The 13,724-nt window shown below is 37.9% G+C and overlaps 1 protein-coding gene across 5 annotated transcripts in view; it reads left to right on the top strand.

Moving 5' to 3' along the window:
• The window catches only part of MAP3K7 (mitogen-activated protein kinase kinase kinase 7), a 73,494-nt gene that overhangs the window by 18,971 nt on the left and 40,799 nt on the right, over positions 1 to 13,724 (top strand). For 4 of the 5 annotated variants that reach the window (NM_145333.3, NM_003188.4, NM_145332.3 and 1 more), the window contains exons 4-6: positions 6,435 to 6,480; positions 7,888 to 8,026; positions 11,478 to 11,602. In NM_145333.3, the coding sequence (NP_663306.1) occupies positions 6,435 to 6,480; positions 7,888 to 8,026; positions 11,478 to 11,602 (310 nt within the window). Of the gene's footprint in view, positions 1 to 6,434; positions 6,481 to 7,867; positions 8,027 to 11,477; positions 11,603 to 13,724 lie in introns of all 5 variants that reach the window. The other variant, XM_006715553.4, reaches the window with a different exon arrangement.

The raw sequence follows: 13,724 nt of genomic DNA, 5'->3' as shown, positions 1-13,724 counted from the left end.
TTCTCCTAATGCTTATCCCTCCCACCTCTCCCCACCCCACAACAGGACCCAGTGTGTGATGTTCCCCTTCCTGTGTCCAAGTGTTCTCATTGTTCAGTTCCCATCTATGAGTGAGAACATGTGGTGTTTGGTTTTCTGTCCTTGCAATAGTTTGCTCAGAATAATGGTTTCCAGCTTCATCCATGTCCCTACAAAGGACATGAACTCATCCTTTTTTATGGCTGCATAGTATTCCATGGTGTATATGTGCCACAATTTCTTAATCCAGTCTATCATTGATGGACATTTGGGTTGGTTCCAAGTCTTTGCTATTGTGAATAGTGCCACAGTAAACATACGTGTCCATGTGTCTTTATAGCAGCATGATTTATAATCCTTTGGGTATATACCCAGTAGTGGGATGGCTGAGTCAAATGGTATTTCTACTCTAGATCCTTGAGGAATTGCCACACTGTCTTCCACAATGGCTGAACTAGTTTACAGTCCCACCAACGGTGTAAAAGTGTTCCTATTTCTCCACATCCTCTCCAGCACCTGTTGTTTCCTGACTTTTTAATGGTCACCATTCTAACTGGTGTGAGATGGTATCTCATTGTGGTTTTGATTTACATTTTTCTGATGGCCAGTGATGATGAGCATTTTTTCATGTGTCTTTTGGCTGCATAAACATCTTCTTTTGAGAAGTGTCTGTTCATATCCTTTGCCCACTTTTTGATGGGGTTGTTTGATTTTTTCTTGTAAATTTGTTTAAGTTCTTTGTAGATTCTGGATATTAGCCCTTTGTCAGATGCGTAGATTGCAAAAATTTTCTCCCATTCTGTAGGTTGCGTGTTCACTCTGATGATAGTTTCTTTTGCTGTGCAGAAGCTCGTTAGTTTAATTAGATCCCATTTGTCAATTTTGGCTTTTGTTGCCATTGCTTTTGGTGTTTTAGTCCTGAAGTCCTTGCCCATGCCTATGTCCTGAATGGTATTGCCTAGGTTTTCTTCTAGGGTTTTTATGGTTTTAGGTCTAACATTTAAGTCTTTAATCCATCTTGAATTAATTTTTGTATAAGGTATAAGGAAGGGATCCAGTTTCAGCTTTCTACATAAGGCTAGCCAGTTTTCCCAGCACCATTTATTAAATGGGGAATCCTTTCCCCATTTCTTGTTTTTGTCAGGTTTGTCAAAGATCAGATGGTTGTAGATGTATGGTATTATTTCTGAGGGCTCTGTTCTGTTCCATTGGTCTATATCTCTGTTTTGGTACCAGTACCGTGCTGTTTTGGTTACTGTAGCCTTGTAGTATAGTTTGAAGTCAGGTAGCGTGATGCCTCCAGCTTTGTTCTTTTGGCTTAGGATTGTCTTGGCAATGTGGGCTCTTTTTTGGTTCCATATGAACTTTAAAGTAATTTTTTCCAATTCTGTGAAGAAAGTCATTGGTAGCTTGATGGGGATGGCATTGAATCTATAAATTACCTTGGGCAGTATGACCATTTTCACGATATTGATTCTTCCTATCCATGAGCATGGAATGTTCTTCCATTTATTTGTGTCTTCTTTTATTCCAATGAGCAGTGGTTTGTAGTTCTCCTTGAAGAGGTCCTTCACATCCCTTGTAAGTTGGATTCCTAGGTATTTTATTCTCTTTGAAGCAATTGTGAATGGGAGTTCACTCATGATTTGGCTCTCTGTTTGTCTGTTATTAGTGTATAGGAATGCTTGTGATTTTTGCACATTAATTTTGTATCCTGAGACTTTGCTGAAGTTGCTTATCAGCTTAAGGAGATTTTGGGCTGAGACAATGGGGTTTTCTAAATATACAATGATGTCATCTGCAAACGGACAATTTGACTTCCTCTTTTCCTAATTGAATACCCTTTATTTCTTTCTCCTGTCTGATTGCCCTGGCCAGAACTTCCAACACTATGTTGAATAGGAGTGGTGAGTGAGGGCATCCTTGTCTTGTGCCAGTTTTCAAAGAGAATGCTTCCAGTTTTTGTCTATTCAGGATGATATTGGCTGTGGGTTTGTCATAAATAGCTCTTATTATTTTGAGATACGTCCCATCAGTACCTAGTTTATTGAGAGTTTTTAGCATGAAGGGCTGTTGAATTTTGTCAAAGCCCTTTTCTGCATCTATTGAGATAATTATGTGGTTTTTGTCATTGGTTCTGTTTATATGATGGATTATGTCTATTGATATGTGTATGTTGAACCAGCCTTGCAACCCAGGGATGAGGCCAACTTGATCGTGGTGGATAAGCTTTTTGATGGGCTGCTGGATTCGGTTTGCCAGTATTTTATTGAGGATTTTTGCATCGATGTTCATCAGGGATATTGGTCTAAAACTCTCTTTTTTTGTTGTTTTTATGCCAGGCTTTGGTATCAGAATGATGCTGGCCTCATAAAATGAGTTAGGGAGGATTCCCTCTTTTTCTATCGATTGGAATAGTTTCAGAAGGAATGGTACCAGCTCCTCTTTGTACCTCTGGTAGAATTCGGCTGTGAATCCATCTGGTCCTGGACTTTTTTTGTTTGGTAGGCTATTCATTATTGCCTCAATTTCAGAGCCTGTTATTGGTCTATTCAGGGATTCAACTTCTTCCTGGTTTAGTCTTGGGAGGGTGTATGTGTCCAGTAATTTATCCATTTCTTCTAGATTTTGTAGTTTATTTTCATAGAGGTGTTTATAGTATTCTCTGATGGTAGTTTGTATTTCTGTAAAATTGGTGGTGATATCCCCATTATCATTTTTTATCGTGTCTATTTGATTCTTCTCTCTTTTCTTCTTTATTAGTCTTGCTAGTGGTCTATCAGTTTTGCTGATCTTTTCAAAAAACCAGCTCCTGGATTCATTGATTTTTTTTTTGAAGGGTTTGTTGTGTCTCTGTCTCCTTCAGTTCTGCTCCGATCTTAGTTATTTCTTGCCTTCTGCCAACTTTTGAATGTGTTTGCTCTTGCTTCTCTAGTTCTTTTAATTGTGATGTTAGGGTGTCAATTTTAGATCTTTCCTGCTTTCTCTTGTGGGCATTTAGTGCTATAAATTTCCCTCTACACACTGCTTTAAATGTGTCCCAGAGATTCTGGTATGTTGTGTCTTTCTTCTCATTGGTTTCAAAGAACATCTTTATTTCTGCCTTCATTTCGTTACGTACCCAGTAGTCCATTGTTCAGTTTCCATGTAGTTGAGTGGTTTTGAGTGAGTTTCTTAATCCTGAGTCTAGTTTGATTCCACTGTGGTCAGAGAGACAGTTTGTTGTAATTTCTGTTCTTTTACATTTGCTGAGGAGTGTTTTACTTGCAACTATGTGGTCAATTTTGGAATAAGTGCAATGTGGTGCTGAGAAGAATGTGTATTCTGTTGATTTGGGATGGAGAGTTCTATAGATGTCTATTAGGTCCACTTGGTGCAGAGCTGAGTTCAATTCGTGGATATCCTTGTTAACTTTCTGTCTCGTTAATTTGTCTAACATTGACAGTGGGGTGTTAAAGCCTCCCAATATTATTGTATGGGAGTCTAAGTCTCTTTGTAGGTCTCTAAGGACTTGCTTTATGAATCTGGGTGCTCCTGTATTGGGTGCATATATATTTAGGATAGTTAGCTCTTCTTGTTGAATTGATCCCTTTACCATTATGTAATGGCCTTCTTTGTCTCTTTTGATCTTTGTTGGTTTAAAGTCTGTTTTATCAGAGACTAGGATTGCAACCCCTGCCTTTTTTTTGTTTTCCATTTGCTTGGTAGATCTTCCTCCATCCCTTTATTTTGAGCCTATGTGTGTCTCTGCCCGTGAGATGAGTCTCCTGAATACAGCACACTTACTGGTCTTGACTCTCTATCCAATTTGCCAGTCTGTGTCTTTCATTTGGAGCATTTAGCCCATTTACATTTAAGGTGAATATTGTTATGTGTGAATTTGATCCTGTCATTATGATGTTAGCTGGTTATTTTGCTTGTTAGTTGATGCAGTTTCTTCCTGGCATCAATGGTCTTTACAATTTGGCATGTTTTTGCAATGGCTGGTACCGGTTGTTCCTTTCCATGTTTAGTGCTTCCTTCAGGAGCTCTTGTTCAGCAGGCCTGGTAGTGACAAAATCTGTCAGCATTTGTTTGTCTGTAAAGGATTTTATTTCTCCCTCACCTATGAAGCTTAGTTTGGCTGGATATGAAATTCTGGGTTGAAAATTCTTTTCTTTAAGAATGTTGACTATTGGCCCCCACTCTCTTCTGGCTTATAGAGTTTCTGCTGAGAGATCCACTGTTAGTCTGATGGGCTTCCCTTTGTGGGTAACCCGACCTTTCTCTCTGGCTGCCCTTAACATTTTTTCCTTCATTTCAACTTTGGTGAATCTGACGATTATGTATCTTGGAGTTGCTCTTCTCGAGGAGTATCTTTGTGGCGTTCTCTGTATTTCCTGAATTTGAATGTTGGCCTGCGTTGCTAGGTTGGGGAAGTTCTCCTGGATTATCCTGAAGAGGGTTTTCCAACTTGGTTCCATTCTCTCCATCACTTTCAGGTACACTAATGAGATGTAGATTTGGTCTTTTCACATAGTCCCATATTTCTTGGAGTCTTTGTTTCTTTTTACTCTTTTTTCTCTAAACTTCTCTTCTTGCTTCATTTCATTCATTTGATCTTCAATCACTGATACCCTTTCTTCCACTTGATCAAATCAGCTACTGAAGCTTGTGCATGTGTCACGTAGTTCTTGTGCCATGGTTTTCAGCTCCATCAGGTCATTTAAGGTCTTCTCTATGCTGTTTATTCTAGTTAGCCATTCAGCTAATCTCTTTTCAAGGTATTTAGCTTGTTTGTGATGGGTTCAAACATCCTCCTTTCGCTTGGAGAAGTTTGTTATTACCGATTGTCTGAAGCCTTCTTCTCTCAACTCATCAAAGTCATTCTCCATCCAGCTTTGTTCCGTTGCTGGCAAGGAGCTTTGGAGGAGAAGAGGTGCTCTGATTTTTAGAATTTTCAGCTTTTCTGCTCTGGTTTCTCCCCATTTTTGTGGTTTTTATCTACCTTTGGTCTTTGATGATGGTGACATACAGATGGGGTTTTGATGTGGATGTCCTTTCTGTTTATTAGTTTTCCTTCTAACAGTCAGGACCTCAGCTGCAGGTTTGTTGGAGTTTGCTGGAGGTCCACTCCAGACCGTGTTTGTCTGGGTATCATCAGCAGAGGCTGCAGAACAGCAAATACTGCAGAACAGCAAATGTTGCTGCTTGATCCTTCCTCTGGAAGCTTCGTCTCAGAGGGGCACCTGGCTGTATGAGGTGTCAATCTGCCCCTACTGGAAGGTGTCTCCCAGTTAGGCTACTCAGGGGTCAGGGACCCACTTGAGAAGGCAGTCTGTCCGTTCTCAGATCTCAAACTCCATGCTGGGAGAATCACTGCTCTCTTCAAAGCTGTCAGACAGGGATGTTTAAGTCTGCAGAAGTTTCTGCTGCCTTTTGTTCAGCTATGCCCTGCCCCCAGAGGTGGAGTCTACAGAGGCGGGCAGGCCTCCTTGAGCTGTGGTGGGCTCCACCCAGTTCGAACTTCCTGGCTGCTTTGTTTACCTACTCAAGCCTCAGCAATGGTAGACGCCCCTCTCCCAGCGTCGCTGCCGCCTTGCAGTTGGATCTCAGACTGCTGTGCTAGCAGTGAGTGAGGCACCGTGGGCATGGGACCCTCCGAGCCAGGTGCAGGATATAATCTCCTGGTGTGGTGTTTGCTAAGACCGTTGGAAAAGCACAGTGTTAGGGTGGGAGTGTTCCAATTTTCCAGGTACCATCTGTCACAGCTTCCCTTGTCTAGGAAAGTGAATTCCCCAACCCCTTGTGCTTCCCGGGTGAGGCGACGCCCTGCCCTGCTTCGACTCACACTCCATGGGCTGCACCCACTGTCTGACAAGCCCCAGTGAGATGAACCCTGTACCTCAGTTGGAAATGCAGAAATCACCTATCTTCTGCGTCGCTTACGCTGGTAGCTGTAGACTGGAGCTTTTCCTATTTGGCCATCTTGGAACCTCCTATGTAGCTATTTTGATCTGCTATCTTAGATGTATTTCTGAAAGAACAGTTATAGTTTGTTCATTTGACTTGTTTCTAGTCTTTTAGCAAAACTGTATCGGAAGAGTTCTTTTAGGTGATTTTGTCCAATAACCTCATCTTCTTATGAGGCTTTTGATGTCCTGTGGCAGCACCTACTTACTGGCACTGGAGAAAGTCCCCAGAATATCCTGTGATTGTATTTTACATACATCTTCACTGTTAGTGGACTCCTAGAAGACAGTCTTAGTCTTAGGTCATAGATACCTTTTCCTTCCCTAGTACTATTCACATAGTAGGGGCCAAAAGAATGATTTTTAATATATCTATAAAATCAGGGGAGTGAATTAAATTCTCTCTCAAAGGCCCTAAGATGATGGAGCTTCTTGGTTAATGCTTCTGATATATGTTTCCTTTAGGTGTGTCTTGTGATGGAATATGCTGAAGGGGGCTCTTTATATAATGGTGAGTGTCATTAGACCTGTCTTTATCTAGTGGATTAAAATAATTTGAAAAATTTTAATATAAACCCTAAGTTGTTTAACATTCTTCACAATTTGCCGTCAGAGTCCCAAAAGGGCATAATTTTTAAAAATCTGCTAAGAATAAAAATGGAAAGATAAGATTCTATAACATTAGTATGTGAAATTTAGAGGTCTATCAATTTTTTAAGTAGATGGTACTTTGCATTTCATTAAAAGCATTTAAGTAAAAGTTTACTTTTTAAATAGATTTTAAAATATCTTCAGATTTTTTTCTTTTTGCCCTCTCATAACTTTGAGCCTCCTCATTTTAGAATTCTTTAACCATATTTCGATTTCACTCTGCTTTATTTTTTCTTTTTTTTCAAAAAAAAATGTGAAAACTCACTTCACACAACCTTTTATTTGTAGTAATGAAAAAAAACTTTGTGTAGTTACATTGGAGAACAGAGTTCTTTTACCCTAAAAATACCAACCATATGCAGAAATGTATTGTCTCTTGTAGCACCAGTTATATAAAACAAATTGTTACATTTTATTTTTTAATTAGTATTATTTTATGTAAACTTTTACTTATATTTACTGCCCATGTGTTCATCATTGTGATGGATATCTAATACCCCATTGTCTTATTTGATTGAACTACTTCTGGTTTTTAGCCATTACAGAAAATACAGGTGCAAACATCTTGATATACATTGTTTTGTTTCTTTCTGTACTGTTCTCTGCCTCTCTCTTGTAGTAGTGTGCCATAAGACTGCTCATAATTTATATTACTTTATAAAAGTCTTTATCTGTTTGAAAAAATGTGGTAATGTATATTGATTTTACTTCAATGTAGGAATAACATTTAATAGATGTACTATTAAATGTTAATATCATGGCAATTATCCACTCAAAATTAGTAGATATTTTCATCCTTTTTATTTAGAAGAAAAATTAAAAGGCCAGGCATGGTGGCTCACTCCTGTAATCCCAGCACTTTGGGAGGCCAAGGCAGGCAGATCATGAGGTCAAGAGATCAAGACCATCCTGGCCAACATGGTGATACCCTATCTCTACTAAAAATACAAAAATTAGCTGGGCGTGGTGGCACACGCCTGTAGTCCCAGCTACTCGGGAGGCTGAGCCAGGAGAATCGCTTGAACCCAGGAGGTGGAGTTTACAGTGAGCCAAGATCGCACCACTGCACTCCAGCCTGGCGACAAAGTGAGAGTCCGTCTCAAAAAACAAAAAGAAAAAAGAAAGTAAAAAATTAAAAGCAGGACTGATGGAGCATATGTATATGTAGAAAAATACCCAGTCATGTGTTCTGATAGTGCTTGCATTCACATTGTGTCTTTTGTTATATGCAATAAAGTTCTTTTTAGTTTGTGCCTTTCTTTCGCAGTGCTGCATGGTGCTGAACCATTGCCATATTATACTGCTGCCCACGCAATGAGTTGGTGTTTACAGTGTTCCCAAGGAGTGGCTTATCTTCACAGCATGCAACCCAAAGCGCTAATTCACAGGGACCTGAAACCACCAAAGTAAGTTATAATAATGTGACACCCCTCAGCCTCTTCCTCCTTCTCTCTCACTCTCACCACCCCGAACCCACTCTCTAATTCAAGCTCATTATTGTACAGGAGTTTCTCTTTTCTCTATTTGGCTTACTCAGTGTTTACTTTTAACTCACCTTCATCATTTAGTCATTTATCTAAGCTTGTATTTTAGATGTTGTCTTTAGTGGGATTTTTATTTTTGGTAACCTCTACCTTAGATTAGCATACTTCTAGAATCTGTTAGCCTATAAAAATCTCATTTTGTGCCTGCAGTATATAATGTTGCTGTTAGACAATTCCTTGGGGGCAGAGATAGGTCTGACGTTTTTCTTGCTGTGTCCCTAACACCTAGCACATAAACATTCTACAGAAATTTGCAGAGTTGTTATTACTTGCTCTTTCAGAGGAAAGTAAAAGGGCATTTCTTGGCATCTGGGTAGAAATTGAAAATATTCTGGATTCTTCATAATGTGAATACTTGGGACTTTAAAAAACTTATAAATTCCTTAGATAAGTATTTTAAAAGACTAAAACTTTGGGGGTTTTGTTTGTATAGGTATTCAGTTAAAGAAAACATACACATAAAACATATTGTTTCCTTTTCTCTCTTTTTTTTTCTTTTATGCACCTGTGACACAGTAAAAATAGTCTCCACGTATCTTCTTTACCCTCCCCCCAAGCTCCCACCCCAGCACATTAGTCTTTACAGAAGAGGTTTCCCTTAGGAAATCAGTATAGTCTTCAGTTATTCCATTCTCTTGATACTGGTTAAAGCATTAAAACATCCCTTCTGGGTGCAACTTGTCACTCTCAGGTCTAATCTGATATACTCTACATAGGTTCCAACTCTTAGAATCACTGTTCTTGCTATGTATCTTATCTCTACTCCCAAACTTAAACTGATTTCTGTTTCCCCAGGTCACTGATAAAATAATGTTTAAGCTTTTATTTTTCCTGAGGCTATTATCTTAGTTACCTGCCTTAACTAATGAAAAAATCACTTAGCCTTTTTTTCTTCATTGTGAATATTCAGTCATCCTTTTTCCACTATATTAACAGAGTTGAATTATTAAAGCAAACTTATGAGAATCACAGCTCTTAACCAGCAACAAATTGACAAATGATCCAAAGGATATAGGCAAGCATCAGATACAGCCAAAGCATTCTTTTCCTAAAAGAGTCTGAACGCATCTGATGCAACACCCAAAAGTATCCCTTTTCTCCTCGTTACAGTATGTTTTGGCTTTGGAATAAATGATTAGTTATTGAACAATATATGGAGAAATATCTTACAAAAGGAAGTCATTTCCATTTTCTAACATCTTTTACATTGCACTAATTACATGGTTTAAATGACTATCCCTAATCTTCATCCAACTACACCCCATGAATTTTAGGTTTATTTAATCAACCTAGTTAGACCAGATATATCCTTCTAAAATCATTTGTAGATAGAGATTCTCCTTTTGCTAGTAAATACCATTAACATATTTACAGAAGGTCTGGTCTAGGTCATTTATTCCAGGCCTCTCCATGATTGGATTCATCTTGCAAATCGTCTTTGGAGCCCCTGGTATACAAGTTGGACTTTAGAATCAGAATTGATTCTAGTTCAGAAAGTACTGGGTAAAAGAAATTCTTTGGAATGGCTATGATTTTATATATAATTGGACATACATGAATACCTGCTATATCTTTATTTTTTAATTATTTTTATTATTATTATTATTTTTTATTTTGAGACACAGTCTCGCTCTGTCGCCCAGGCTGGAGTGCAGTGGCGCAATCTCAGCTCACTACAACCTCCACCTCCCGGGTTCAAGCAATTCTCCTGCCTCAGCCTCCCAAGTAGCTGGGACTACAGGCATGTGCCACCATGCCTGGCTAATTTTTTGTATTTTTAGTAGAGACAGGGTTTCACTGTGTTAGCCAGGATGGTTTCAATCTCCTGACCTCGTGATCTGCCCGCCTCAGCCTCCCAAAGTGCTGGGATTACAGGCCTGAGCCACTGCACCCGGCCAATACCTGCTATATCTTATTGTCAGTGGAAAACCTACAGATTCTGTGGTCAGGAAGAGTTCCTCAAAATGGTATCTAAAGAAGGTACCTGATGATCTAGGGAGGTGTTTTATACACTATCAAGTTGTGCTTGTGCTTGTATTTTATCTTTTGCAAGTTTATTCACATTTACATTAGAAATTAAAATGTGTTTTTAATCTTAACAGTGTGAAAGTAAGCCTACAAAGATAATTTAAGTTCAGATTTCAGTGAGCCCTGAATTTCCTGTTCAAGGCTGGTGAACTTTTGAAGTCGAGTAAAGGAGTACTAACATAAAACTCATTCAGGAAAATTATCTTGAATCATCAGAAATTATCTTGATATCTTGAATATACCAGTATAAAACAAGGAAACTAGTTACAGAGTTCTTATAATTTTCTTGGGTAAAAAGTGTAAGAGTTTGAACAAGAACATTGAGATGCGGGAAAAAAGCTTTGTTGAAGTACATATAGAGGTATACTGGATTTAGCATTCTTTTCACTGGAATGATTATGAGAGTCTTTTTGGTATTATGGAACTGTGAATAGTAGTTTATCTGACTTATTTTAGTCACATTGGACTAAAAGAGAAGAAATTTCCAAATAGTCTCTCCAGATGTAAAAAGTTTATAAAACTTGTAATTAAAATGAATTCCTATGTACTGCTATTGGATATTACTACAATGTGATGGTGCAAATTATATTACCCATTTCTATTTCTCTTTGTCATGAAAAGCAAAACCTTGTAAGTAAGAGTATGCTACTTGGTGACTGTAGTTGGGTAATAGTACACCTAGGAAAGTCCGAATCTTAAGTTCAGAAAATTTTCCAGAAATCTCTCATTAGGTCATTTTAGCTATAATAGATTTGTATTCCTCCCACACATTCATAGTCTAAGCACAAAAATGGTTTTGGGATTGAACATTTTTAGAAGTATCTTCAAAATAAAGACATTAAATTACAGACCATTTTTTTCCTTCTATATTGGATTATTTTCTTTATATAGTGTTACTATTTTTTAAGTAATACATATTTATGATTAAACTCCCATTTCAGGATACCGTAATGTTGACCTAACAGAAGTTTTTTAAACCCCACGTTTTATTTTGGCCAGATAGAAGTATGATCAGGAAAGATTTTGGAGCTAGAGATGAAGACATCAGAATGTGAGTCTAGCAGCCTTCCAAAGAGAGCTAGGTTATGGTTAATTAATTTTTGCTTATTATTTCTCTGAACTATTAGGCTTTTATAGTGACCAAGTAAATTAGTCATTTCACAGAAGTTGAATGATAACATTCATTTTGCTTAACCTTTTCCATTTCCACAAATGTCTCTTCTTTTATTGTAGAATAAAATGTTGGCCTTGTAACTTTTGATGTTTTTTGTTTTTTTTTAAACAGCTTACTGCTGGTTGCAGGGGGGACAGTTCTAAAAATTTGTGATTTTGGTACAGCCTGTGACATTCAGACACACATGACCAATAACAAGGGGAGTGCTGCTTGGATGGCACCTGAAGTTTTTGAAGGTAAAATGGCAAAAGTATGGTATGTTTGATAATCTCCCTCACTCCTTGTGAATTCATATGTTTTTATAGATTTTCCCCATTTCCATGGTTTTATTTCTGCATAATACATAAAGTATACAATGAAATCTAAGGGGATATTAAATATAGTGTTATATCCTAAATTTTATAGTAAGATTTAAATCTTCTATGCTTCTAAGCATATGTACAGTTGATCCTCATTGTTCACCAATTTCTTAATTGCAAAATTGCCTATTTGCTAACATTTATTTGTAACCCCAAAATTAATACTCATGGTGCTTTCATGGTTATTTGCAGACAGTGCTTTCATGTACTCGCAGACAGTGTGCATGCGCTGAGCAGTGCAAATTTTGAGTCATCTAACGCATGCTTCCAGCTGAGGTTGAACAAGACAACGTTTTTCCGTCTTGTTTCAGCTCTCATGCTGTAAGCAGGTGTCCTTTTTTGTGCTGTTCAGAGCCCTTTTTCATTTTTGTGATTTTTGTTGGTAATTTTGCTACTTAAAATGGCCCTCAAGCATAGTACTGCCTAAGTACAAGAAGGCTATGATGTATCTTAACAGACAATATACATATGTTAAATTATCTTCATTCAGGCATGAGTTACAGAAATGTTGACTATGAGTTCAATGGTAATAAATCAACAGTATATATGAATAAGGTGTCTTTAAGCAGAAATACGCATGAAACAAGGCTATATATTGATCAGTTGACAAAAACATGGTGACCAGAGGCACACAGGAACCTACCCCTGTATTTTCCTTAGGAGCAGTGATTCAGTGTTCACTAATTCAGTGTTCTCAGAAACTTTATAGAACATAAATACCAGGAATAATGAGAATTAACTGTGCTTTTGTATTGGTTTCCTAGCAATTAAAAATTGAGAGCCCTAAAGTTTAAATGAGGATGCCTTAAAAAGAATGCAAATAGCTGGGCGCGGTGGCTCAGGCCTGTAATCTCAGCACTTTGGGAGGCTGAGGTGGGCGGATCATGAGGTCAGGAGATCGAGACCATCCTGTATAACACGGTGAAACCCCATCTCTACTAAAACTACAAAAAATTCGCCGGGCGTGGTGGCGGGCGCCCGTAGTCCCAGCTACTCGGGAGGCTGAGGCAGGAGAATGGTGTGAACCCGGGAGGCGGAGCATGCAGTGAGCCGAGATCGTGCCACTGCACTCCAGCCTGGGTGACAGAGCAAGACTCCATCTCAAAAAAAAAAAAGAATGCAAGTAATTGGACAGAAATAAGATACTAAGAATTACAAATAAATGTCAAGCTTATATGTTTACCTTCTTTTATACCTCCATATGTCACTGAAGTTTTAAAAGAGTTGTCTGTAAATTATATGCTAGGTTTCTGTATAAAAACATCAAATTATCTTTTAAATGAAAGAAGTTGAACTGAAGGTATGTGATTTGTATGTTAGGAAGTGTAAATGCCCATAAAATTCAGATACATTCAGTTAATCAGACTCTGGTTATAGCTTATTTCTTTCAGTTTTGATGACTTTAAAGGGTTTTCTGTTTGTTTTTAGCCACCCCAGAGGAAGAGAAATTGCAATGCAACTAGTCACCTGAGTGGAGCTCTTTTGCCCTAAAATTCAATTTAGTAATAAATGAATAATCAGGTGTTATATTACACAAGATTAAATAATGCCTCCTGTTTCATATACAGAATGTATACATTTGACATTGTTTTAAAATTATTTACTTATTTAATATACCTTTATGTGAGTTAAAATGACCCAATGTTACTGTATGTGGAGAGCAAAAAGATTTGTTTATACAAAAGATTAATTTTATTGCTCTAGACAACCCTTAATTGTCTAGAGCAACAAAATGCAGACTGTTAGGCTGTGTAAGTTTCTTCATTTCTGAAAGATGTCAGTCAACCTGTAGCCCAAATTAGACTGTAGCATGGTTGTAGTGCTATATTACAGTGTACTGCTTAGCATGTAAAGCTATAGCTATAATAATTGTTCATTCTTACAGTGAGTTGAGTGTTTGTTTGTTTTTGGGAGATTATGACGGGTGCTTATTGTGCTGGCTGATTCAACCACCTACTTAGTTTGTAAATTTTGCTGTGTAACTCAGGTTATCCATAAT

Source organism: Homo sapiens, chromosome 6, assembly GCF_000001405.40.
Source record: "Homo sapiens chromosome 6, GRCh38.p14 Primary Assembly".
In the NCBI taxonomy this organism is placed as follows: Eukaryota; Metazoa; Chordata; class Mammalia; order Primates; family Hominidae; genus Homo; species Homo sapiens.
The sequence above is the reverse complement of the archived record's forward strand: the minus strand, read 5'-3'. Positions and strand labels throughout refer to the sequence as shown.